Source organism: Homo sapiens, chromosome 11 (genome assembly GCF_000001405.40).
Source record: "Homo sapiens chromosome 11, GRCh38.p14 Primary Assembly".
Taxonomy (NCBI): Eukaryota; Metazoa; Chordata; class Mammalia; order Primates; family Hominidae; genus Homo; species Homo sapiens.
Genome location: NC_000011.10, coordinates 34,854,916 through 34,882,294, shown reverse-complemented (window position 1 = coordinate 34,882,294; position 27,379 = coordinate 34,854,916). Strand labels below are relative to the sequence as shown.

The 27,379-nt window shown below is 41.1% G+C and overlaps 2 long non-coding RNA genes across 7 annotated transcripts in view; one reads left to right on the top strand and one right to left on the bottom strand.

Annotated features, from left to right (window-relative positions):
- Nucleotides 1–4,615: 4,615 nt before the first annotated feature.
- The window catches only part of LOC102723568 (uncharacterized), a 185,086-nt gene continuing 162,322 nt past the window's right edge, over nt 4,616–27,379 (bottom strand). The window contains exon 7 of the long non-coding RNA XR_007062652.1: nt 4,616–5,285. This is a non-coding gene — a long non-coding RNA (uncharacterized LOC102723568). The remainder of the gene's footprint in view (nt 5,286–27,379) is intronic.
- On the top strand, nt 7,017–26,874 carry LOC105376624 (uncharacterized). Of its 6 annotated transcripts, none has more exons than XR_001748178.1 (4): nt 7,017–7,128; nt 21,259–21,374; nt 23,218–23,443; nt 25,653–26,874. It is a non-coding gene; the product is annotated as an uncharacterized LOC105376624 (long non-coding RNA). The 6 variants fall into 6 exon arrangements; XR_931183.1 differs by lacking the exon at nt 7,017–7,128 and adding an exon at nt 20,976–21,038; XR_001748177.1 differs by lacking the exon at nt 21,259–21,374 and having other exon boundaries at nt 23,218–23,381.

Sequence of the window (27,379 nt, the reverse complement as noted above, 5' to 3'; positions counted from 1 at the left end):
TTTATCCCTCAATGTTAATGTCAAAATAATTTTATAGATTTCCCCTATTAGCTTTAGTGTTTCCCTGTGGTCTACAACAGGACACTCATTTTATATTGGGATCAGTTGTGAAATTCAGGTCAGGTGGTATCAACTCAAATTCCCTTAACCAAACAAATCTTGATCAAACCGATGATGTAATCAGAAAGTCCTTTCTTTAAAATTGTTTTAAATTTTAGGTTTGGGGGCCCACATGAAGGTTTGTTACATAGACAAACACATGTCACAGGGGTTTGTTGTACATATTATTACATCACCCGGGTATTAAGTTCAGTATCCAATAGTTATCTTTTATGCTCTTCTTCCTCCTCCCACCCTCCGCCATCAAGTAGACCCCAGTGTCTGTTGTTTCCTTCTTTGTAGTCATAAGTTATTGCCATTTAGCTCCCACTTAGAAGTGAGAACATGCAGTATTTGGTTTTCTGTTACTGTGTTAGTTTGCTAAGAATAATAGCCTCCAGCTCCATCCATGTTCCCGCAAAAGACATAATCTTGTTCTTTTCTATGGCTGCATAATATTCCATGGTGTATATGTACCATATTTTCCTTATCCATTCTGTCACTGATGGGCATTTAGGTTGATTCCGTGTCTTTACTCTTGTGAATAGTGCTGCAGTGAACATTTGTGTGCATGTGTCGTTATGGTAGAATGCTTTATATTCCTTCAGGTATATACCCAGTAATAATAGGATTGCTGGGTCAAATGGTTGTTCTGCTTTTAGCTCTTTGAGGAATTGCCATACTGCTTTCCACAATGTTTGAACTAATTTGCACTCCTACCAACACTATGTAAGGGTTCCCTTTTCCCTGCAACCTTGCCTGTATCTGGGTTTGTTTGTTTTTTCTTTTTTTTTTTTTTTTTTTTTTGTGACAGTCTTGCTCTGTCACCCAGGCTGGAGTGCAGTAGCACCATCTTGGCTTACTGCAACCTCCATCTCCTGGGTTCAAGCGATTCTCCTGCCTCAGCCTCCCAAGTAGCTGGGATCACAGGCATGCTACCACCCCCGGCTAATTTTTGTATTTTAGTAGAGACAGGGTTTCGCCATGTTGGCCAGACTGGTCTCAAACTCCTGGCCTCAAATGATCCGCCCACCTCGGCCTCCCAAAGTGCTGTGATTACAGGCATGAGCCACTGCCCCCAGCCTGTTTTCTGGATTCTTGGCGGAGGTTCTTCCACTGGGGAAAAATAGTTTTAGCCACCTCTGGTTAATTTCATTTTCCTCATTTTAAAATGCAGCTAATGAATAAGATAAAGTATGTGGAGGAACAAACCACAATGCTTAATCCAGTGTAGATGTTCAATAAATATTAGTGTTTTTTAAAATCCCTTTTAATCCTCATAATAGTCTTTTGAGATAGATATTGTACCTATTTTCTTAGATGAGAAAATTGAGGCTCAGATAGGAATAATAAATATGTAGAATTTAAATAAGAGAAAACAGGTAAACTTCTTAACACAGTACCTGTCATATACTATGTATGCACTCAAAATATAAACTTCCTTTCCTAAAAACCCCTCACCTAGCTATCTTCAAAGTAATTGTCATGCAGGTAAACCATTTAAACTATACAGCAGCAGCAGCACATCTCCAGTTGTATATTTCTTTCCTGGGAGTGCAGAAAAGATTGCAAAACCTGCTTTAGAGGTAGGGGAACAGCTGGTGGAAGGCTGTATCCCCTAGTTAATATCCTTTTTTTTTAAGAATATGATCCCTCCTGTGTGACTGCTAGGAGCCAAGGTCCAAAGATGAATACAAATCCAGGCTGGGAGCTAATCCTCAGTGCCTGCCACATAGGTGTTCAGTGAATGAGGGAGGGGGAAGCAGGCATTCTTCTTCACATGCCCTTGTGATTGTTGTTCTCTCAGTTATTCCAGCTTCTTTAAATAAGAGGAAAATTTGGTTATGAATGCAGGATTAAACTGCTAAGAGATCTAGATCAAACACATTTTTTATTTCATTAAGTGCAGGACATGCCATTCACTCTCAGATTGAATAAGGGACTATCATTTGTTTCTCAAATGATTCTAGAGGCTTTTGGTCCCACCCAACTTTCTTGTGAGAGATACTTCAAAATAACATAGTTCCCTAGAGAATGTCCCAAAATCCGAAAGGTAAAGTCATAATCTTAAGGAGTGTTTCATTTTATATCTCAATTTGTTCAAATACCTCCCTTTTGAGAAAATTTTGCCATGTCTCATCAGCAGTTCTAGTCAAGATGGTCAGATGTGGAACTAATAATGTTGACATCACTATTCAAGAGGCAATTTGAATTCTCCCACCAAGTTTCTTTAAAGCAGGACTACAAGGCCCAGCACAGTGGCTCACGCCTGTAATCCCAGCACTTTGGGAGGCTGAAGTAGGCGGATCACCTGAGGTCAGGAGTTTCGAGATCAGCCTGGCCAACATGGTGAAACCCCATCTCTACTAAAAATATTTTAAAAATTAGCCAGGCATGGTGGCAGGCACCTGTAGTCCCCTCTACTTCGGAGGCTGAGGCACAAGAATCACTTGAACCAGGGAGGTGGAGAGTGCAGTGAGCTGAGATCGCACCACTGCACTCCAGCTTGGGTGACAGAGCAAGACTCTATCTCAAAAAACAAAACAAAACAAAACAGATTTTGGTTTCCATTTCACTGATCTGTAATTTATAAGCACTGAATCACCAAGTTTTGGATAATAATCACTGAAATGGGTATTCTTTTGTGGTCTTAAGTTATAAACACAAATATGCTCTTAAAGTATATTTGGCTTCTGATATGAGTATTAGGGACTTAGGGTTCTAACAAATTTTAATATGTTCTACTATTTTATTCATACTTTTAGTAAGTACCTTTTACTTTTCCTACTTCATTATTGCAATAAGGACCACATCTTTGGAGATGAAACCAGGAAAATTTATATATATATATACAGTAGAGCTTTGAAAGTTAAGTAAAAATTTCCAGTAGTCAAAATTATCATAAAAAATCCTTTAAAATAACCCATCAAATATAGTGCTGTATATGTGATTTGTGAACTTAAGATTATTTCATTTATTCAGTAGTGTTTATCCACGTCCTCAAATAATCATGTTTTGTTTCTTTTGAGGATGTTGATCAAGTCATCACCAGCCTTTTATCTTGAACAATGTGTTTTAAATCATCTGCAAATTTTTCCATTGGTTTCACAATTGTTCATTGTCAGTTTCAGGTTTAATTGCATCTATTGCTTTTAATACAAGCAAAGGAAAAGTACTATTTTCCTGGTATACAATCCCTTTAGGTTAACTTTAAAATAACTCAATACATTGTGATTGGAACCCACTAGACAGTTAGGATCTGTTCTCTTTACTCATGCATGGTTAAACTTTTCTGTTAATAAACATGTCTTTCCCATGCTCTAAACATAAAAGTGTTATATGTGTATAATCTTATGCTCATTTAGGCTTGCATTGTTTGATAAAAACTGGGTGAAAAGCAAAATACCCTAGACACCACCCCCACCAAAAAAAACTACATTAGTGTAAGGAGTAAACTTATGAAACAGTAAGTTGTGCTGTGTTGGTGTCAAATGCTCCTAGTCAAAGCCTTGATGACCATCTGTAAGCTTATCTGTTTGATATAAATGATCTAAAGGACACCCAAAGAAGGTTCCAACAGGCAAGAGAATGGAGTAGGCATCCTCAGGGTGCTGAATATTTCTGCCCATGGCTGGGTAGGAAATCTTTATCCCTCAAGGGATATTACTGTAAACCTTCGTTAGCAAGTAAATATCAATAAATGTTGAATGAATGACTCTTGGTTCTCCAGCAATATTAAATGGGATTGAGGAGTAAAAAGAAGTGTCTATGTAACCTCCTCCAAATTCCATTGTAAGAGAATTGAGCCTAAGAAGAATGAATGCCATGTTAACTTTTATGTTATGGGGCATAATTGGTTATTGTTGTTAATGGAGTAGGACTGAGAAAGTCTTAAATTCCTGTTTGGGACAGAATAGAAGGGGTGGTTAATAATGGATGGGGTGGTTAATAAATAAATCAGTAATGTATTACATCTTAAAGGAAGGAATTGGGAAGAGTAGGATTATAAAATCTTGTTGAGCTTCTCTGATATCTCTTTACTAAATGTCTTTAATTTGTGTAAGTCTTCCCAGTAGCAAACTATGAATCACTTTATACATTAACTGTGTTTAATAATTGCATGAAATATTATAGTTTAGCAAGCAGTTTCACCCTTCTAGTCATCTTGTCAGCAATCCTGATGTCAGTGTTATCACCATCCACCAAAAAACATAAGCTTCTAGTGAGACAGGGCCATGTCCTATCTATTTCCATAGCCCTGTGCCTACGTGTAGCAGACAATCAAAAAATACTTGCTTTTTGAATAAACCCTCATGTTAACAATGAGACACAGGTTCAGAAAGGTTAACTTGCTCAAGACCTGTGAGCAGGAGAGCTGGGAATTTGTCCTAGGCCTTTGGCTCTAAATTGTATGGCATTTTCTCAACCTGGATGAATGAATCCCTCTCAGCAAATGCACATCTATGCATTTTATTCATGCATTTTGAAATTACTCAAGATAATAAACATAGGGACATTTTCAGGTTGATTTATCTGTTTTTATTCCTTATATAAATTTCAGGCATATTCTCTCTAACATTTTAGTAAAACTGCATACATATTTTAACAATATGCATAGAGGTGATTAACATCACCATGTTAGAATATTAGGATGTTATCCATCACACACCGGGGCCTGTCGTGGGGTGGGGGGAGGGGGGAGGGATAGCATTAGGAGATATACCTAATGTAAATGACAAGTTAATGGGTGCAGCACACCAACATGGCACATGTGTACATCTGTAACAAACCTGCTTGTTGTGCACATGTACCCCAGAACTTAAAGTATGAAAAAAAAAATACAAAATTTAGCCAGCTGTGGTGGCATGCACCTGTAATCCCAGCTACTTGGTAAGGTTGAGGCATGAGAGTCGCTTAACATGGGTAAGGTTGAGGCATGAGAGTCGCTTAACATGGGAGGCGGAGGTTGTAGTGAGCAGCCGAGATCACACCACTGCACTCCAGCCTGGGTGACAAAGTGAGACTCTGCCTTAAAATAATAATAATAATAATTTTACCACCACTGAGATGATCTTGTGACATACTTTGTCCAACAAAGTGAGGCAGAAGTGACATTATACAGTTCTGATCCTGGGTCTTGGGAAGCCTGGGGTTTCTGCTGTGTTGCAGAACCCTGCCCAGCCATCCTAGAAAAAAAAAAAAAAAAGAACGTTAGGATGTTATCAAAGAAGCAATTATTTCTCTATCTCCCTCTACGATTTTTAGGAATGAACTTAAACCGATAAGCCTGCACATTTCTGCTCTTTCCGCTTTGTTGTAGCAGTCTTTCACAGATATGAAGACAGTGATGACCCCTGTTTAGTGTAGCTTAAAAATGTGTTGATTCTGCTTTAAATTAAAACCTCTAAAGGCTTTGCACGTAAGTGACACTTTCCAAAGGCACTTTCAAAGCCATTTATAGGATTTCAGGTATAATTCTGCTCTTTAAATCTCCTTGTTTTTAGCAATTATTGCAGTTAATTTAATTGTATGACATCTCTAGTGCTCTTATCACACAATAGAATGAATTAAGTCATTTTGATCAACATTCATCAATGTCATATCAGCAATCAATGTGTGCCATTTATAGAAACACTCTGAAAAAGACTTCCTTCCTTTATCTTCCTAAATTTCAGAACTTTATTCTGATTTTCTCCTTACCTCTTTTTATCCAGAAAGCAAAACTGAACTTCTACTTCAAGTGGCTGGCTCCCTTTGCAGCCAAGAATGACATTGTTTAAAAATCTTGCTATGTTGTGACAGCTGGCACTTTGAAGGATATTACTTTGGCCCATAGTAACTTGGTAAAAATTGTTACCATTTAGCCATTTACCATTGCTTGATTCTGACTCATCAAGCTTTCCAATCAATGTGATTTTTAAGTATAAGCCTTAACTATAAGCCTTAATCTTCAATAATTCAATGCCATTCACATATTGTTCAGGCATTTTTCCTATTTATTTAAGAAATGAATCATCTATAGTTCCAATATGAAATAAAAAAAACTCTACAATAAGCCAAATCTAAAATAATACATGTCTATTATCACTCATAATCCTTGTTAATGCTTTCACACCCTAGGACTGAGGTTTTCCTTCTAGTTTTTCTTCCCTTCAATTCCTTCTGTCCATTTATTCTTAATTTGAGAGATTTTATTTGTTGCCTTATAACCTTCTTCTTTGCCTTTTTCTTCTCTTCCTTTTTATTCTTTAAACATACATCTTTTGTTTTTTTCTTTTAATCTTCTGTCTTAAGCTTAGACTTTCTCACCTGACACCCATTTTCTCAGCATATGTTAGTGAAACGGGAGAGTTCCCTGATCCCTCACAGGACTTATGACAGAGGTGTCGCTCATGTGCTCAGCCACTACAGGCTCGAACTCCTTTCGGGAGGGCGAGCACACGGATGGGCGGGGGCAAGAGCTGGGGCGGGGCGAGTGCTTTTGGGCTCCAGCCCCAGTAGCGTTTAGGGGTGTGTTACAATTAATGCTCTTTTAGTAGTTGCCATTTGTGGACGGCTAAGTGTTAAACCAGCTCAGTAGAGAGTCAGGGTGACAGCCTTTTACACCCTGCCCTCTTGGTACCTGGATCCTTGTCCGGTGTATTAGTCTGTTTTCACACTGCTGATAAGACATACCGGAGACCAGGCAATTTACAAAAGAAAGAGGCTTATTGGACTCATAGTTCCACGTAGCTGGGCAGGCTTCACAATCATGGCAGAAGGTGAAAAGCGTATCTCACATGGCAGCAGGCAAGAGGAGAGAACTTGTGCAGGCAAACTCCCATTTTTAAAGCCATCTGATGTTGTGAGACTTACTATCATGAGAACAGCAGAGGAAAGACCCGCCCCCATGATTCAATTATCTCCCACCAGGTCCCTCCCACAACACGGAATTATGGGAGCTACAAGATGAGATTTGAGTGGGGACACAGAGCCAAACCATATCATCCAGCGTCCAGGAAGATTCAGGTCACTCAGACTTGAAGGATGGTGAGTGCAGGGATTTTATTGGGTGATAGAAGTAGCTCTCAGTGGGATGGATGGGGAGCTGGAAAGAGGATGGAATGGGAAGGTGATATTCCCCCAGAGTTTGGCTGCCCCACAGCCGATCTCCTCTCTGACTGTCCCCAGCTGAACTCCTGTTGATGTTCAGACGCTCCTTCTCTTCTCTTCTTCTATGCCATGCCACTCTGCTGCTCTGTCGTTCTGCTACTCTTCTGTTCCTCTGCTCGTGGAGCTTGGGGTTTATGTGGGCACAGAATAGGGGCATGGCAGGCCAGAGTGGTCTTAGAAAAGGCAACATTTGGGCGTGAAAACAGGGATGCCTGTTCCCATTTAGGTCCATGGGTTTCCAGGCTTGAGGGTGGGGCCTTTGCCAGGGAACTGCCCTCTTCTACCTAGTATTTCCTCGCCTCCTGCCCATATCATTAGCATTTTTAATAATTTTACATTGACCTTGAGCAGAATCACTTAACTTTCATTTTCTGATTGGCATTTTCTAAGGGTCTTGTAACTCCAAATTTCAGCAAATCTTCTTTCGTACTCAGTACTTGTTCAGTGCTCAAGTGTTGGTACGTAGGTAGAGGTAAGCTGCTGTTGGTGTCTACCCAGTTTCCCTCACTCATAGGAGCCACCTCCACTCACCCACATCCCTTGAGGCTCTGGGATGATGTCAGTCACAGTATTCTGCCTGCCCTCTTGCTGCAGCCATAACCACGTGACCCGGACCTGGCCAGTCGTGGCCAGTCATAGCACACCATTTCCCTGCCTACAGAGGGGTTCAAAGTCTTAGGTTCCTAACTCAAGGAGAGGTGCCAGGACCCAACTCCACTGCCAGATAAAGAAAGCCTGTCTGTGTTTGAAGAGAATGAAACCAACACACAAAGAAAAGTATAAAAAGCAGAGCCAAGATATAGAAATATTTCTACTACAGCATTTTAGTACTTGGATTTAGCAGTACCTTTGGATTCACCTTCAGCCTTTTGAGTCAGAAGAGATGAACAGATTTGCTTTTTTAAAAGTTATTTTGAGATGATTTATTTCATAATAGAGTCTTACACAATGTCTAATAGTATATCAAACCAAATGCTATGCAATTGCATGAAATAAAAGGCTAACTCGCATTAATCTTGATGAGACTCAAGTCTTTTATGTATATTACTTCATACAAAATTGGTAAATAAAGGAATGATATTGGTACATTGGTATAATATGGAAATTGCATGGATTCATACACAATTTTTCTCAGCACATTGTTTTAAAGCAATTAGGGCAAGATTTCTTATAATTAATGAGAAAGCTTTAAAGATATATGAAAACATTTTGGAAAAAAAGCTGAAAATCTGCAGAAGTTTATTCTTTATTGGGAAAAAAAGCCTCATTTAGTAGCTTTAGGGACCTTCAGTAATTTTCATTCAGTTAAGCTATCTGGAACAGGCATGGATAAAGACACTAAGAAGATATTTCTAGTTATATAAAACAATGGATTAGGAAGCCTACAGACTGGATACGATTTTAAAATTTGATGAAAATTGAATTTTTTAAAAGCAAATGCCTTCTAATACTTACATCTTAAAGGAGGAAGCACAAGTCTAGGAAATTATAAGGAAGCAAATGATTAACAGCCATGAAAACTAGAAGAAAGCTAACTGTGGTAACATTTTTATTAGTAATATTTTTATTGGTATTCTGGTTACATAGTTCATAAGTTTTTAGTGTCTTCCTGAACCTTGTCTACTCCATTTGCCTTATTATTTTTGGTACAGCATAGATTTTTCAGGAACACTTATATGGCGTTAGAGCAGCAGTCCCCAACCTTCTCGTCACCAGGACCAGTTTTGTAGAAGACAATTTTTCCACAGATGGGGGCAGGGGGAGTGGTTTCAGTATGAAACCGTTCCACCTCAGATCATCAAGCATTAGATTCCCATAATGAGTGCACAACCTAGATCCCTCACATGTGCAGTTCACAATAGGGTTCCCACTCCTATGAGAATCTAATGCCACCAGTGATCTGGCATGAGGCGGAGCTCAGCGGGTAATGCTCGCTTGCCTGCTGCTCACCTCCTGCTGTGTGGCCCGGTTCCTAACAGGCCACAGACCAGTACAGGTCCACGGCCTGGAGGTTGGGAACCCCTGTGTTAAAGCATTTATATTACATTTATATACACCCATACTCGTTCTGAAAAGGATTGAGAATCTCTGAAGATACAGAGAGGAAAATCAAACTGTGTTTTCATTCTCTCACTCAACAACACAGAAAACTTCTGTGACCTCTGGTTACCAAGATGGATGTCGGGGATTTTTCCCCACCAGCAACCAATTCTGCAGCAGACACCATCTGCTGGGTGTCCTCCGATCCAATTTCAACAATATCTAACTGGAAACAGCATCAGATTCCACAGGTTGAAGGTTGAGTCCCAGAAGGCTGCCCTCCACTTCCAATGCCTATTGCAAGCCCCAGATTGTGACCTATGCTTCTGACTGACCTGCTGATAAATTGGGATATCCACCATTCCCTCCTTGGGTTTAATTAGCCTGCTGCAGTGGCTCACAGAACTCAGGGAAACATGTTTACCCGTTTACTATAAAGGATATTACAAAGAGCACAGATGAAGACATGCATAGGGCAAGGCACAGGGGAATCACGTGCAGAGCTTTCATATCCTCTCCAGGCATGCCATCCTCTAGAAGCCTATACTTGTTCAGGTATCTGGAAGTTTATCCAAACTCTGTCCTTTTGGGCTTTTATGGGTGCTTTATTATGTAGGCGTGATTGATTAAATTGTTGGCCACTGGTAATCAACTCAACCTTCAGCCCCTTTTTCCCTCCCTGGAGGTTAGGAAGTGAGGCTGAAAGTTTCAACCCTCTAATCCTGCCTTGGTCTTTCTGGTGACCAGCCCCCATCCTGAAGCTACCTGGAGACTGCCAGCCGTCAATCATTATCATACAAAAAGACACATCACTTTGAAGAGTCCAAGGATTTTTAGGAGTTGTATACCAGGAAACCTGAGACAAAGATAAAATATATATTTCACAACATAGGATAAGATAATATTAAAATTTACATAATAAGATGTGGGAGAAAAGGGAAAGAAAGGAAGAAATAGAAATACAGATATTAAAGTTGAAGGGTGAGATTAAAGCTAAAACAAAATTAAAGCCATGTGTTGGTAGATAAACTATTCAGATTTTGTGCCAAATAAAGTGGCAATTCCTTAACAAACCAGTTTATTACTATTACTATTTATCTCATGCTGAACAGTGTCATTGTCTGGGGTAAATATCCGAGATTCATTGTCTCATGGTCATGGAAAACTAGGACATGGACACACAAAGAGTGAGGTTCAGAGCGGAAGTTTAGTAGGTGAAAGAAAGAGAAGTGGGTTGTCACTTCTGTGGTGAAGTGCAGGAGGTTTTATAGATGACCTATATTGAGTAGGCGGTGTTTGATTTACATGGGGCATGAAAGATTGGTCAGACCAGGTGTGCCATTTGCATAGCACATGAAAATCTGGCTGCCCCCCACCTCCACACTAATATTTTATTATGCAGATAGATTCTCTACCTGGCCGGCGCCATGTTGCCTGTTCCTTTACTGCACATGTGGCCACAAAGAAAAGGGAAGATGGAGCCTCCATGCTGAACATGCCTGGGCCTGGGTAGCCCTTTTCTATTGGCAGAACTGCTGGCATTCACTGTGCAAGTTTCCAGCTTGCTTATCAATGTCTGCAGTTCAATTTTTCAGGCTTATTTTTGTTAGAAATTATTTGGGGGCTCCTTTTTGTTAAAAGGGGAATCTTGCTGAGGAGTCTTGTGCCCTCATTATCTGCCTAATTTCTTTCTAGCTCCTGTATCGATGCTAACAGGTTGGCTATTTGGGGTTAGATTTAAAAATAAGAGCATAAATTTGGTAGGAGAATTTAAATATTTTTACTCCTTTGGTTAACAAGAGATATGGTAGAGAAATTATTTAGATCTGTGAAAACTCTTATTTCCACTTTTTTTATTGATTTTTCAGCCTAAATTCATGTGTGTAATAAACATGTATATTTAACACGATTTTAAAAATTCAAACTGTACATATTCAAAATCTAAAATATATCCTTACAGTAATTTTTCCTCCCACCCTGTTCTGGTCACCCACTTCCTCTCTTTGGAGGCAACCACAGTATCAATTTCTTGCACATCCCTTCACAGATGGTCTATGCAAATATAAAAATATATCTACACATATCTGCCTTGGACACAAGGATTCACCACCCAGATCCCTTTTCATGGGAGGACTTATTGCTTCAACTCTTAGGAGTGCCGTCAGCCCCATTCAGAGATCTCAGCTGCAGATTTGCTTACCCAAGGCCATGCCCTTCCCAGGGAAGCCCATATCCAGTGACTGAGGGAGCAGGAATATGAGGACTCAGCCATTTCAGCCTGATGCTGGACATGTCTGATGTGCCAAATTTAGTTCCAGAGCTCTCCCTGGGGCAGCTGAGGCTCTCAGGCCTGTATCGCAGCTTGACTGCTCCTCAATTCGATCCTGCTTCTGCTTCCTCCCTTTCACAGGCAGGGCCACCAACAGCCCCGGTTTTCCTAGGACTGAGGGGGTTTCCAGGATGCTGTATTTTCAGCGCTAAAACTAAGGCTGTTTCAGGAAAACTGGGACAAAGGAGTCATCCTATCCACCTGCGTTGATACCAAGGACATCACCTAATAGTGACATCCTGCATACTAAACTTTCTCTCAGAGGCTGCTTCCTGGGGAACCTCAGCCTGTGACAGTCAGTAGCAAGAGTGGTCTAAGAAAGTAGGTGATAAGATAGCTTTGGAGCTGAATATCTTACCACCAAGTTGACACTGAGGACCCCATCTAGAGGTGGGTGGGGTAGATAGCCCCTGGCATAAGGTGATGGTCCAATTATTGAAACTTTCACCAGTGGTGAAGTGGGATAGCACACTAAGGAAGAGAAAACACCAATACACACCATATATCAGGCATTTGAAAATTATGGAGGAAATAGTCACAACAATGACAGTGGGAGTGGATGATTACTGTGATTGTTGCTTTGTTAAAGATAATGAAAGGCTGAGAGTGATTAATGGGCAATTAAAAGTGAAGAGTGGAAGCAAGAGGGCTTCCTTGATAGCCAAGAGATTCTTCTGCAGTAGGAAAGCAGAGAAAGCTGAAGAACAGGCTCAGGTTTTAATCATCAGAATACCTGAGATTCAGAATGTTATACTCCCAACTAAGGCAGGTCTACCATGACAAGGCCAAGGCCCTTTTTGGGAAAAAATAGGACTCTGACACAAGGGATGGGGAAACCAGCATTGATGGCTCTGAAAATCTTTAATGCTCAGATTCTTGCACTTCCCAAACCTGCAAAAGTGAATTCCCTCCCTGTTAAGAGCTAGCACCCCTTCCTTGCCTCTCCAGCTCAGGGCAACATGTAATGTCCCCAGCATCTGTTTTCACTTTCCCTTCTGGCCACTAGGTGCATAACGAGGGTTAAGTCACAGAATAACCCAGCCAGGGTTGCGCTAGGTCTGACAAGAAAGGAAAGAGTCCCCAAAGAAGCTGCAATGCCTAACTAGCAGGTACCAGCAGGCACCACGGGAGGTCCATGGAAATGAACCCCAAGAGTGCTCAATCAAGAAAGCTGGGACATAAGGCTGGTTATGAAAGAGTTTATTTATTTTTCTAAAATACAAGATTTAACACTTAGGCTAGGATCCCAGCAGGTGGGCCCAACCTGCTACATAGATGGCTCCTAGAAGTGTGGCAAAAGCAAGGACCCATGCTGAGTGAAACTAAGATATAAGAATTTCCATAGCACATGGTGGAAGAATAGATTAAAAGATGTAGGGAAGTGGGCAGGCTGGAGTGGATGTACAGTGTAAGGCCAGATAGCACACTAGATTATTACAGTTCATGGGAAGGCCTGGACATGCTATTTATCAAGGCTACAGAAAGCATTGGTGAAAGGGATCCCAGCATTACTAAGTATCCCAGGTGAAAGTAGGAGAGATCATTACATCATTCAGCTTACAGGTACGAATGGTGATAAGACCCCAAAACAATAGAAATCAATAGACACCTGTCAGCAGCTTTTCACCATCAAAAACCAGGTGATACAATTATTTCATAATGAGTGGTAAGATCAAAATCACAGCCAAGGGGGCCTCATCTGCAGAATTATATAGATGATTAAAACAACACAGCTTCAGGTTGGGCACGGTGGCTCATGCCTGTAATCCCAGCACTTTGGGAGAGGTCAGGAGTTCGAGACCAGCCTGGCAAACATGGTAAAACCCCTGTCTCTACTAAAAATACAAAAATTAGCCAAGCATGGTGGTGCATGCCTGTAGTTCCAGCTACTCAGGAGGCTGAGGCAGAAGAATTGCTTGAACCTAGGAGGCAGTGGTTGCAGTGAGCAAAGATAGTGCCACTACACTCCAGCCTGGGTGACAGAGTGAGATTCTGTCTCAAAAAAAAAAAAAAAACAACCCCAGCATCCACAGGACCAAAACAGAGAGACAGTCAACAAAGGCACCCCAAAATAAACCTTACAAATATTCAGAGGCCTGGCACTCAACTTGTACCTTGAGAAGAAATCAAGACTAGATGATCAGGAGGCTGAGTGCAGTCACCCCAATAAAAACACAATCTCTTATCCAGTTTTGTGACCTCAATTGTTATAGGGACCCAGAACCCACTGATGAAAAGAGAGGATAGTCTCCAGATAAAATGACTTTGCAACACCATGGCAACGCAAGAGATATTGATTCAGTCCTCTCCCCAAGGGGCCTATGTATAACTCTACATTGGGGGCAGAGGGAATACCCAAGCATGTGATTACTGTTGGACGTAGAATATGAGGTGATATTGATAGCTGGAGACCTGAAATGTCATCTTGATCCTCCCTATTACAAGATAATCATATGAGACCAGTTTACAAGTGGACTATTGACTGAGGTCTAGCTCACAGTGGGCCTACCTACTGATCATTTCCAAATATATAATTGGAATAGACATAGTTGATAGATGGTGCAGCTCCCACATTGAATCCTTGGCCTGTCAGGTAAAAGCAGCCTATCATAGCAGAGAAGGCCAAGTAGCAGCCTTTGAAATTTCCATCTACTCCCACCTTGCCCCCAGCCAAGCTACTAAATACAAAACAAATTCATATCCTGGGAGGGATGACAGAAATTAATGCTACCCTTAAGCATCTAAAGGAGGCCAGAGTAGAGATCCTCATTTTATCTCCACTTAATTCACCAGTCTGGACCCCTCCAGAAATTAGATGGATCTCCTGGAGCATGAGAGTAGACTACACAAACACAGCTGTAGCTGCTGTGCCAGATGTGGCACCTGTGCTAGAGCAGGTGAACATGGCTTTGGGTACACAGCATGGAGCCAGCCATTTCTATCAGAAAAAAAGATCAGAAGCCAGGTGTAGTGGCTCACACTTACAGTCCCCACTGCTCAGGAGGCTGAGGCAGGAGTATCACGTGAGCCCAGGAGTTAGAAGCCACAGTGAGCTATGATTGTACCACTGAACTCCAGCCTGGGCTATAGAGCTAGATCCTGTCTCTTAAAAAAGAAAAGACCAGAAACAGTTTAGTTTCATGTGAAATAGGCAACAGAGCTATAGTTTTCTCCAGGGCTGTGTTAGTTCTCACTCTTGTAATATAGTCTGAGGAAATTTGGGCTTTCTGAGTATCTCGCTGGACCTCATATTGATCCACTACATTGATGACATGGCGCTAAATGGCTGAATGATCAAGAACCAGCTAGCATCTGCTCCAGAGGTGGGAGGTAAGCCCTAGGAAGATTCAGAAGCTCAACATCAGCGAAAATTTTAAAGATCCAATGATGATGGGCATGCTAGCATATCCCACCCAAAGTGAAAGACAGATATTACATCTTGCGCTCCCCATTAGGAAAAAGGAAGCACAATTCCTTGTAGACCTCTTTAGGTTCTGAAGTCAGCACATTTCACACTTGGGAATGCGGCTCCGGTCCATGTGCTGGGTGTCTTGAAAATTACCATCATTGAGGGAACCCAGAGCAGAAAAGGGTTCTACAGTAACTCCTGAACATTTGAGCCAGTGACCCAGAAGACCGTATGATGTTTGAGTACCGGTGGTGGGAAAATATGTCATGTTAGTTTATGGTGAGTCCCAGTGGGACAATCGTTATGCAGATCCCAGATTTCTGGAACAAAGCCATGCCATCTGCAAGGAAGAATTATTTGCCTTTTGAAAAACTCTAGTGTGCTACTGGGCCGTAATAAATATGGAACTTGCCTCTGAGATACCAAGGGTGATGGTTAATTTTATATGCCAACTTGGCCCGGCGACAATGTCCAGATATTTGGGCAAACATCAGTCTAGATGTTGCTTTGAAGCTATTTTTTAGATATGATGGACACTTAAATCAGTAGACTTTGAGTAAAGCAGATTACCCCCATAATATGGGTGGGCCTCATCCAATCAGTTGAAGACCTTAAGGGAAAAGTTGGAGGTCCCCTGAGGAGGAAGAAATTCTGCATTCACACTGTCTTTGGATTTAAGATTGCACAAGATTGCAACATCAGCTTTTCCGTGTGTTTCTGAGAGCCTGCCGGCCTGCTCTGTAAATTCTGGTGGTGCCTGCTCACACAGTCACATGAGCCAATTCCTTACAATAAATCTCTCTATTTCCCCACTCTGTCTGTGTGTGTGTGTGTGTCCATCTATGGGTCTGTTTCTCTGGAGAACCCTAACTAATGCACCAAGTGACCCTGCATCCAGAACACGCATCATCATGAACTGGGTTTTGTCAAACCCAGTGGTCCCCAATCTTTTTGGCACCATGGGCCAGTTTCATGGAAGCCAATTTTCCCACAGATGGGGTGAGGGGGATGGTTTCAGGATGATGCAAGTGTATTACATTTATTGTGCACTTTATTTCCATTATTATTCCATTGCAATATATAATAAAATAATGGTACGACTCACCATAATGTAGAATTGGCAGGAGCCCTGAGCTACTAGATGCAACTAGATGGTCCCATCTGGGGGTGATGGGAGACAGTGACACATCATCAGGCATTAGATTCTCATAAGGAACATGCAACCTAGATCCCTTGCATGCACAGTTCACAATAGGGTTCACACTCCTATGAGAACCTAATGCCGCTGCTGATCTGACAGGAGGTGGAGCTCAGGAGGTAATGCAAGCAGTATGTAGTGCAAGCCAAAAATGGTCAGCAGCTGCTCTACACATCCCCTCAGGGGTGGCCTTGAAAGATAGTGGTCAGGGAAAAATTCTTCCAATGGAAAGAGTTCAAGAGATGAATCTGGTCACCCACTTTGTATGGACGAAAGAAATGGCCCAAAGTTATAGATTCATTGGCAGTGGCAAATGGCCTGGCTGGCTGATCAGGGGCCTAGAAGAAGAAAGATTGGGAAATTGGAATCAAATTGTCTTAGGGTAGAAAGTGTGAGAATAGATATTATAGCAAGCGTGAAGTACGAAGATCTTTGATCACATGTTAATGCCCACCAGGAAGCACATAGTACAGAAATAGTATGAAGCAATTAGGTGGGCAGGGTGACTCAGCAGGTAGAGGTCATCCAGCCTCTAAGGCTCTCTCTGTTCATTCTTCCCACAAGAAGTCATTTGATTATTTCAGACTAAGCAAATGCTCAGTGAACCACACCCCTGGTAATTACGGACAACCACCAACTTTGGCATTTACAGCCAAGTTTCATGGAAATATCTGAGCACTCAAAGCAGGAGGAGGCAGCCAGGAGACAGATCTGGAGGCCCTGCTAGGATTGTGACTCTTCACAACTATGTGCTCATTCTTCTTCCATGCCTACACTTCACCTGGAATTAACTCTTCCCTGGGCAGCTAACACTAGCATGCATTGACCCAAATGAATGTGGTGGTATTGTCACCCCCAGATGAGCTACTAGTTGCTTCAGATCCAACCATCTTTTATCCATGTCTACTTAGCAAGGACTCCAACCAGAGGCTGCACTGGGACCCTCTCAAAGAAGCTCAAACCCATATCATTGGAAGGAGTCAGGCTGCCATTTTCCTCTGTAGAAGGTCTATATCCCAGCTTGGTAATAAAGCCACCTCCATTGGGGAAACATGAGAGAGTCCAGCTGGTGTGGTAGCCCCAGTAAATTGCTGAAACCCTCAATGGCTTCACCAAATTTTTACTACCATTTCACAGCAATAGCAAGATACTAAGGAGGAAAGATCTAGTAGTTACCTAGGAATATGTATCTGGACTTCAGGAGAGTATCTGAGAATTATCAGCAGATCTGTAGTTCATGCATCCATTCATTTGACCATCTATTAAACATCTACTATGTATCAGGCACTCTGCAAGATGCTAAGAATTTGCCAGTGAATAAGATAGATCGGGTCTCCATTGTCCTGAAATTCAGAGTCTGGTGGGATGTGGAAGTGTAAATTGAAGCCCTGGGTACAGGTCATCTTTCCAAAGGTGTGAAGAAACACTAAGCTTTAGGGCACATTCTGGAATGCAAGAGAGAGAAGAGGAACTAACAAAGGAAATGGAGAAAGAGGAAGTATGTGGAAAACTGGAGGAGCATAACATTTAGTTTAACTTGTGAGAGTTTCAAAAAGAAGAGAGAATGTAAAATATCATCTGCTGCTAAAAAGCAAGAATAAGACTGACGGGAAAAAGTGCAGTATAGTAGTGTTAAGTACATGGACTCTAGTTTCAGAAAAGCCTAACTTTGAGTCCTACCTCCACCATTTATTGGTAATGTGACCTTGGTCAAATCTCCTTTAGTGGGGACAAAAATGCCTCCTTTAAGGGTTGTTTAAATAAAATAATATATGCAAAGTGTCAAGTATACTGCCTAATAAACAGTAGTTTGTTTTTTAAATTTTGTTTTCTGTTTCACTCTTGAATTTGGCAAAAAGGAGAATTGGTGTACTCTAAGAAATTTGCCTAAAGTTCTTTAACTTTAAAATCCAACACGCGCTTTCTCATATAACCTTCCAGTGTTTGTTAATCTCAGACTAACAGTCTTCCACTCTGTGTCCCTCTGATAAGATGTAGAAAGGGCACAATCAAAGGGGACTTTAGTTATAACAAATTAGGGCTACAATTTGGTGTTCAGATGCCTCTACCTATTAATTTAGAGAATGCGGTCCGTCACACAGTTGGAAATTTAAACGAAGTATATATCTTGGTTCTCACAATTCAGAATGTGGGGCTGAGCTGGACTCTGTCTGTCCCACAGTGTAGCAGTCAGATAAATCAAGCATCAGATTCAACCCAACTCAGAAGTCTTAAGTTGGAATCTGTTTCTCCCACAGTCAGTGTAACATTCAAATAAATCAAGCATCAGATTCAACCCAACTCAGAAGTCTAATTTGGAATCTGTCTCTCCCATAATCAGTGTAACATTCAAATAAATCAAGCATCAGATTCAACCCAACTCAGAAGTCTGCAAAATATTTCCTCTTGCCTTTAATTGGACTTTCAAGACAAGGACAGTAGCAATCTTAGAAAGTTCCAACCAACCTAGATCCAACAGCATAGATTGCCCGGCCTGGGGAAGACAACTGAAAAATGAAAGCCAGATGTTAGGGGGTTAAGGAGAAGACCTTGAGGAGCCACATAGACTACTCCTTGAAGAAGTTTGGAAATGAAAAGACAGACACGGGAAATTCTGTCTACGCCACTATCAATTTCAACTGAAGCCTAGATCAATTATTTCAAGTAAGTCCTGTTTGATGAGCTGGTTTCTCAAGCAAGCATTCTGTCTCAGCTGTACCCCAAGGCCTGGCTTTCTCATGTTCCATAAGCAGAGAGGATCATAAATCCTGCTGAGATGTCAGTAGGGAAGACTCCGCTTTCTAGCATGCCCAGCCTGCAGATAATGATCTTGACTAGAAAAGTGTAAGGTGGTTAAGAGCAGTTAAGGCACCAGGTCACACTGTACTTATTCTGGGAAAAGATCACTCTCTCTGTGCCTGGGCATAGGCAAACCAAGAAATCACTGGAAGTCTCATTCTCTCCAAGAACATCAGGTATGATATCAGGCCCCACTCTGGAATGCAGGTAGGGCAGCATCTAGGTTAGTCTGTGTGGATTTGGCCTTCCTAGATCACTGACAGTTTATGGATTAGTCTTATGGTCAGGTAATTTTCTTCAAAAAGGGATCAGTCAGTGACAAGGGGCGAAGGCTCTGGTTTGGCTCAAAAATCTAAGGACCTCCCCACAGCCCAGATCTGTTATAGAGCACCTTCTATTACACCCCAGTTGTTTTTAACTCTGACCCAATATACACAAACTTCTCTGACCCTCATGAACTGGTGGAGACCAGACTTTCCATTTCTGCCCCTCTCACTTCCAACTCCTGCCTCTGTTTGCTGAAGTGGCTCTACCAGCTGATGTCCACGTAGCTGGACTTTCCTTTGGCCCATTGTGTGTTCATATGCACCAGCCAGGGGGGTTATGGGGACTTCCAGAATGCTCTTCCCAATAGTCGGAAAGCATGATGGCCAAGTGTTTATGAGGATATCTTGCTGATGGATTTTAAAGTCCCTGAAAGCTTAAGATCCAAATTCTAAGTTACCCTACATATTAGTCTCATTGACATACAAAGAAATTTCAAGGGGAGCCCTGCCTCCTGAGTTCATTGGCACCTGGTGTAGGTCACTGGCTGGCCTGTGACAGGTAAGCCTCTCCAAGTGACATGATTGGGTTTTCTCACAGATTTCCATTATTGGATTTAAATTTAAACAAAATATTCTGGGCCAGGCATGATGGTGTGTGTCTGTAGTCCTAGCTACTTTGAAGGCTAAGGCAGGAGGATCACTGGAACCCAGGAGTTCAAGGTCACAGTGAGCTATGATTGTACCATTGCACTCCAACTTGGGTGACAGAGCAAGACTCTGTCTATAAACAAACAAACAAATAAATAAATAAACAAAAATGTTCTGACATAAGGTTCACCAAGTGGGGTGGACAGAAATAAATCAGACCATTTGACTTTTGTTCATTCGTTCAGCACATACTTGCTGAGTATGCTGGACTCTGTGCTAAGTGCTCCAAGTGCAGCATAAGCAAACCAGTCAGGTTCCTGCCCTCATAGATCTGGAAGAAGTTAGTAAAATAACCTTAGAAGTAAGTGAAAAAGTAGAAGTGCTACAAGAGAGAACTATGAGGTGCTATGAGAATGTACTATCAAGAAGTTGGACCTGGTTTTGGTGGTATAAATAGTGGACTTAAGGAAGGGATATCTTAAAGTTTAATGGCCAAGAACACAGGAGACATTGGCAATACCTTATATTTGGCAGCCTTACAAAAGTCTTAGCTATGGTCAGCCTCCTCTATTCCTCTTACATTGCTTTATGTTTCCCTCTGGATAGAAAGGGAAAAGTAGAAAGTATCCATATAGGTTTAGGGGACAGGGTTTGGTTAATAAGTAATCCAATAAGAGAACATGATTTGCTAATTTACTAAATTCAAGGACAACTATGTTAACTGCCACTTCCTTTTATTTATTATCATTATTATTATTATTATTATTATTATTTTTATTTTTGAGATGGAGTCTCACTCTGTCGCCCAGGCTGTAGTGCAGTGGCGCCATCTCGGCTCACCGCAAGCTCCGCCTCCCGGGTTCACGCCATTCTCCTGCCTCAGCCTCCCGAGTAGCTGGGACTACAGGCGCCCGCCACCACGTGCCCGACTAATTTTTTGTATTTTTAGTAGAGACGGGATTTCACCGTGTTAGCCAGGATGGTCTTGATCTCCTGAGCTCGTGATCCACCCGCCTCAGCCTCCCAAAGTGCTGGGATTACGGGCGTGAACCACCGCGCCCGGCATTAACTGCCACTTTCTAAATGAAAAACTCTCAGGTAGAACTATCTGAAATTTACTATATTTAACTTTTTGCCTCATAAAAGCAGCAATTTCATCTGGTTCAGGCTAACCATATAGAGACTTCTGATAAAAAAAAAAAAAAAAAAAACCTTAAAGTGCTGATGCTGAAGAACAAGACTGACCTTAAACCATAGAACAAGGGACCATGCCAAAACAGGCTTTTTTTCCTTTATCTTTTTTTTTTCTTTAATACAGGGGTCAGTAAAACTCTGTGGAAACAAAAAGGTGTAGCAGAAAGACCACTAGATGGGTGTCAGGAAACTTTGACTCTAACCCCAGCAAGGCCACTCGCATTTTCTCTGTGATTTTGTGTAAGTTGCTTTCTGTCTCTGAGGCAATAGTTCCTCATCTGTGAAACTATAGGGCTTGACCTATGATATTTAAGGCTCCGTTCTTTCAAGACTCTTCTTGCTCCTTGCTACTGTAAGACAGTAAGACTTAGAGTAACACAGCTCTATAATCCCCAGCTTAGAATACAGCCATTTCTCATTTCCGATCCCTCGCCATATGGACAGGTGCAACCAAATGACAATACGGCCCTTATCTGCCTGTCAATCACATGTGCTAGTCTCCATGTGGACCAAGACAGAGATAGGATTCACCTTGTTGATCAGATGATTTGTGAGCTACTGCTTTATCCAGAGTATGTATTACATGTTGAAATTGTAAACATTCAGTAGGAAATCATTTTGAGGACATTACCCAAAGCATCAGAAGAAGAATTGATCTAACTACAGGCTAAAGCAAATCCAAATAATTACTACTCATTTTGGTTTTTGCCCTTCTTGAACATAGAGATGGTATTGCTCAGCACTTAGAAACTGAATCCAAACAGCTGGGGAGGGAATGCTTTCTGAAGTCCAGTTGGGCTGCCAGCACAGATCATCTCCATTCTGCTGACCAGCAGGACCACGTGCCAGCAGCCAAACCTTTAAGTCTCTCAGCATAAGAGCAAGTGGTAACGCCAGGGGTTTTAAGCCTGCAAAGAGTGATTACCTGAAAGTGAGGTCATGATTCAGGGGTTTGACTGCCAAACACTGCTGACAAAGACACACTCTTTTCCCTGACAGTACAGAATCATATTACTGCACACGCAAGTGTCTCACACCTGGGAAGGATGAAATTACACTGAGCTTAATCCTCCGAAACCAGCCCAACAAGAAGTCACTTAAACATTTAGGATAGGTGTTGTCTCCTGGCAAAGAAAATACTGCAAGGCAACCGGGCAGTTTTTACTAATGAGAAGGGCCTAGACTTGTCAGTTGAAATAATCTTTGACCCTTGATTCCCTTTATTAATTATTCCTTGAGAGGTCTAAACATAGTCTCTCTTAAGTGGGCACTCTGGTCTTTTGCATCCTTATTAACTGAGGAAATCAGCCCTTCAATGAGGTTACATAAGCATATTAAACCAAAGCAGACAGATACCAGATACTTCACTAAAAATAGGTACATAATTCATTCCTTTCAGCAAAAGCTTTGCTCCAGTTAGGGTCAGCGAAGATTACTTACATGTTGGAATGTGTCAGGGGACACATACTCAGGGTTGTAAGCAAACTGAGGCCAGACAGGAGTTTCACAACATTTATCTCTGGGTTTAATTAAACAAAAAGGCAGCATTGGGAAAGGCGTGTAAACATAAGTCTTCCAAGGAGCTCCAATGCACATCTTTCCCTAGAATCATGTTCTCTTCCACCTGCCTGTCCTGCAGGGAGGCTGGTGCCTTGGCTCCACACCAGCAGGTGGGAAGAAGCAGTAACCTCCTGAGCCATCTTTGACCTGCAGCTCCAGCGTATCATGGTCAAGTTCTTCACTCTCCTCCCTCTTCCCAGAATCCTAGTTTGGAGTGTTATGGAAAGTTAAATCCATGAAACATATATCAACTGACCTTCCTGCCAAATGCAGAACAATGCAAGAGGGTGCAGTCACCAACATTTTAAAACATATAAATAAGAAGTAGAAGTGCACCATCCCTCTCTTCTTAACTGCAATGTTTCCTTTCCCAGAGGCGACCAATGTACCAATTTCCTACACTTCTTCCAGAAGTCTTTAATGCACTTTCAAGCCTATATGTATATATTTCCTTAAATGCACACTCACATACAAATGGTAACAAACCTAACCCATCATTCTGTGCTCTACTTTTTTAAATCAGGTGTTGAAGATTCTGCCACATTGATACATATCAGACAGACTTGCTCTTTAAAGACACCAAAGTGACTGGGCACGATGGCTTACATAGGTAATCCCAGCACTTTGGGAGGCTGAGGCAGGAGGATTGCTTGAAGCCAGGGGTTCGAGACCAGCTGGAGTGACAAAGTGAGACCCCACCTCTTTCTCTTTAAAAAAAGACAGCAAAGAATTTTATGATATGGATGCACGTAAGAGACCTAATCAATTATTTAATTTTATTAGTTTAGGTTTGTTCCTCAATGTTTTGCTATTACAAATAATGTTATAACATACATATCATTGTAAGTATATCATACCCATGTGTGAATCTACCTGCAGAATAAATTCCCAGGAGTATAACTGTCAGGTTGAAAAATATGTACATGTGTGATTTTGGTAGATACTGCTCAATTACAAACCTCATAGAGGTTGTGCCAGGTCACCATCCTACCAGCAATACGAGTGGCTGTTTCCCCAAACTCTGGCCAGGCCAGGGTGTTACCAAATTTTCAGTCTTTGCTGAACCAACAGTGACAATGATATCTTATTCTTGTTTTCATTTGCATTTCTCTTACTGTAAGTAGGCAAAGCACCTTTACTAATGTTTAAATGCCTTTTTTAAAAAAAAAAATTCTGTTTCGGTGCTTGTCTCTTGATTTGTTGGTCTTTTTCTTTAATCTTGTAATGATTTGTATTCACACTTAGTACATTAAGAAAAACGGACTGTGCTGTGCAGTACAAATATTTTATTCTAGTTTGTTGGTTGACTTGTGACTTTGTGGCATTTTCTTCCATTCATATTAAAATCGTTTTTCTGCATAGTTAAAGTGATCAATATTTTCTTTCATTGAAGGGGTAGAAGTGGAGGGGAGGCAACCAACATTTAACAGACCCAAATCAAAACTGACCAAAAGCCAAACTCCTTACAATGATCAACAAGATTAGATTTTCCTTGGTTTCCTTTCATGTCCCATCTCTATCAATCCCCTCTAAGCAAAGTAAGTTCCAGCCATATACACTATCTGCATTTCTCAAAACAAATATTGGTACATATTTGTTTTATCTATATAGACTATACCATAGGCTTTTCTTTCTACTTGGAATGCCTTTCCTTAATCCTGTACTCCAAATGTATCTGTTGGACAAATTTCTATGCATACAAAGCAATTGAAATATCACTTCCTTAGTGGAGACTTCCCTGCCTATTTCATCTGAACTGTGCCTAATTAGTTATGAAACATTTTCTGAACCCCACTAGTACTGATCATATGGTTTAGTTCATAACCTACAAACCAGCAGTATGGGCTCTGGGGCCAGGCTGGTTGGGTTCAAATTTCGCCTCTGCTACTTATTTGTTGTGTAAAGGACCCTAAGCAAATTACTCAACTTCTCTGTGTCTCAATTGTCCTCATCTGCAAAATGGGGATAATGGTAATGCCTCATAGGACTGCCTCGAGAAATAAATTCATAAGAGTGTTAAACAGCATCTGCATTGAGAATAGTGCTGACACACAGAAACTGCTTATTAAATAAATAAAAACTTGTTGAGCCCAGAAGCAGTCTGAGCAACAGATAGTCAACAGCCAGGAGGCAATTGTGCAGCAACTTATCTTCTTTCCTGCCTACCTTCTTTTCGAGATTGTGAATGTCTTGAAAGAACAGGCCAAGTATTTTGCTTTACTCAACTTCATATTCTAAGCACCCAACACATGGTAGTTTCATTGAATGAATGAATAAATAAATAAATGATTTTCCATCCAAGTATCTCACTTTAGTTGAAATATAGCATAAATACATATAATAGATTCAAGAAAGGCCTCAAAATAAAAATATACGAATGTAAGTTGTCCATAACACAAGTAAATGTGAAGTCTCTCTACATTTGGTTGCTAAAGAAATAGTCAAGGAGCCCAGTGGATTAGAATAAAGAAAAGGGAATTTCCTTTAAAAGTTTAAAGCAGAGAAAGAACATGAACTGTATAGACAATTACAGAGAGTATCCCAGGGAAGGGAAATGACCCTTACCCAGAGCACTTGAGGGTCCCTAAGTCCTAGGCAGCTCCTCCCATATCTTATGAAACATATTCAGATGTACACACATCCAATATAATTTGGGGGCAAAAAAATGTAGTTTTTTTCTAATTTGGTTTTCAAATTATTTTTGTATTAGTAATTCCTTTGATTCAAAATTGGTTATGATTTCTTAGCAATCATTGGGTACCTGTAAGACGATTCAAGTGAGAAAAACTAATCCACAAATGCTTGCACCTATAATGAGATGTTTATGAATACTTAATTTAATAATTGATGAAATTAGCCTATGTCATAATTTGCAGCTATGTCACTACACATTTAAAAATTTTGGTATCACATTGTTCAATGGAATCAAAATATTTCTTCTTTATTTTTCTCCTCCAGATCTCAAGTATTTTAACCATCTCTTGAAATGTTCTTGGGCCTCAGCCTAGGCACTATGCCTATAGAAACTAATGGATAAAGCAACCCTGCTTCTTTAAAGGCCTGGAGGCAAGTGCAATCACGTTTAATGCTGAATATGGCAAACTTATTTTCCCTGTTGAAGCCAAGTATCTGTGTGGAGGATTAGTTGGATGCATGCTTCCAAAAGAAACCAGCTGTTCTTGTAAGTAAAGGCCTGCTGAAAGAAGAAACCAACCTATTTAGCTTGGAGAATATGGGGGCACAGATTGCCTTTTCCCATCACCTGCCAGGAACACCATGCACTTATTTCATCTCAATGCAAGATACAAGATCTAGGATCCAAAACACTATTTTCTATCACAAAGCCAGTTCTCACACCTTTTTCAGATCAAATGTTCCAGCCTCTTCAGAAAAGCTTAGAAAATAGTCTTTCTTTCACTCCCCACCAGTCTTCATTGTGACATATGTTGCATATCATAACCCTTGGTACTGGATGAAAGCTCCCAATCTGAATCAAGAACAGGTAAAGGTAAACAAAAAATTGAGGCTAAAAGAATCACTTAACCTGAACCACATGGTAGGAAAAGCATGCTAGAATGGAATATCCAACCGGCTATGGACATTGTTTTTGGCAGACAAATGAATGGCCCCATTATAAAGGCATCAGGGTTGGTGTATTGTCCAACTCTAGGGGGCAACATTGAATTGTATCCTATCGTTATGGTGCTCCCTGGAGTTCTGTAAACACATAGGTCTGAGAGTGATTATCACATGCCTATCTTATCCAGGGAAATAAGGAGCAAAATGGCCCAGAAGAAGAGAAAGAACATTCTACCAAGTCACACGTAACCTACCAACAGTCCACAACTGCAATTGATTTCATGCCCAACTCTTGCTACACCTAAGATTTGCATAACTTAGTACTGGGGAGGTTTTGGGGGAAACCAGAATTCCACCTCTGAAGCCAAGCCAAATCTTCAGTGACTGGAGACTGGGAAAGCTGCCTTTTTCAAATTTAGTTTGTCTTTCCCAATAGCACTTAAAGGACAAACGTGTTCTGTTCTGCATCTTTGGAACTCACTATTCATGGTTAAGTCATTGCCTTTGAGACTTTATAAGGGCTATTGGCAGTTTAGCTTTACAGTAAATGTAGTGTAATTTACACAATAAAATGCAGTCACTTGTTTAATTACTTACCTCACCTATTGGGACTTTTTCTCATCTCTCAGGTCACAGTTTTTACTTAGGGCCATAACAATGGGGTTGACATTGGTATGAAACACTTTTGAACCCCCCAGAATGAAGACTTCTTAACTGCACCTGAAGAGTGACTCGCCAAAAACAATGAAAGGTGTTTCACAATCTGAGTGGGTGAACTTCATCTAACTGATATGTAAATAAAGGAGTGGCGGGTTAACAGCTCAATACGCAGAAGCGGCCTCTCAAGAAAGCTTGGCTACTAGAAATGAAGGGCAACTTCACTCAAATCCTGTGACACTGTGGAATTTAGGCACAGCAAGATGCTTGGGCCTGGACCAATGGAAGGACAAAAGGTTCCTTTCTCTCTCTGCAGTTCATCCATGTCCAAAGAGAGAGAACACCAGGAGGTGGGACTTCTGAGTTGATTCTAAATCTTCCTGTGTAATTCAAGGCGTGTGTGTGTATCTGTGTGTGTGTTTTCTGTTTAAAACCACCAGAGAAATATA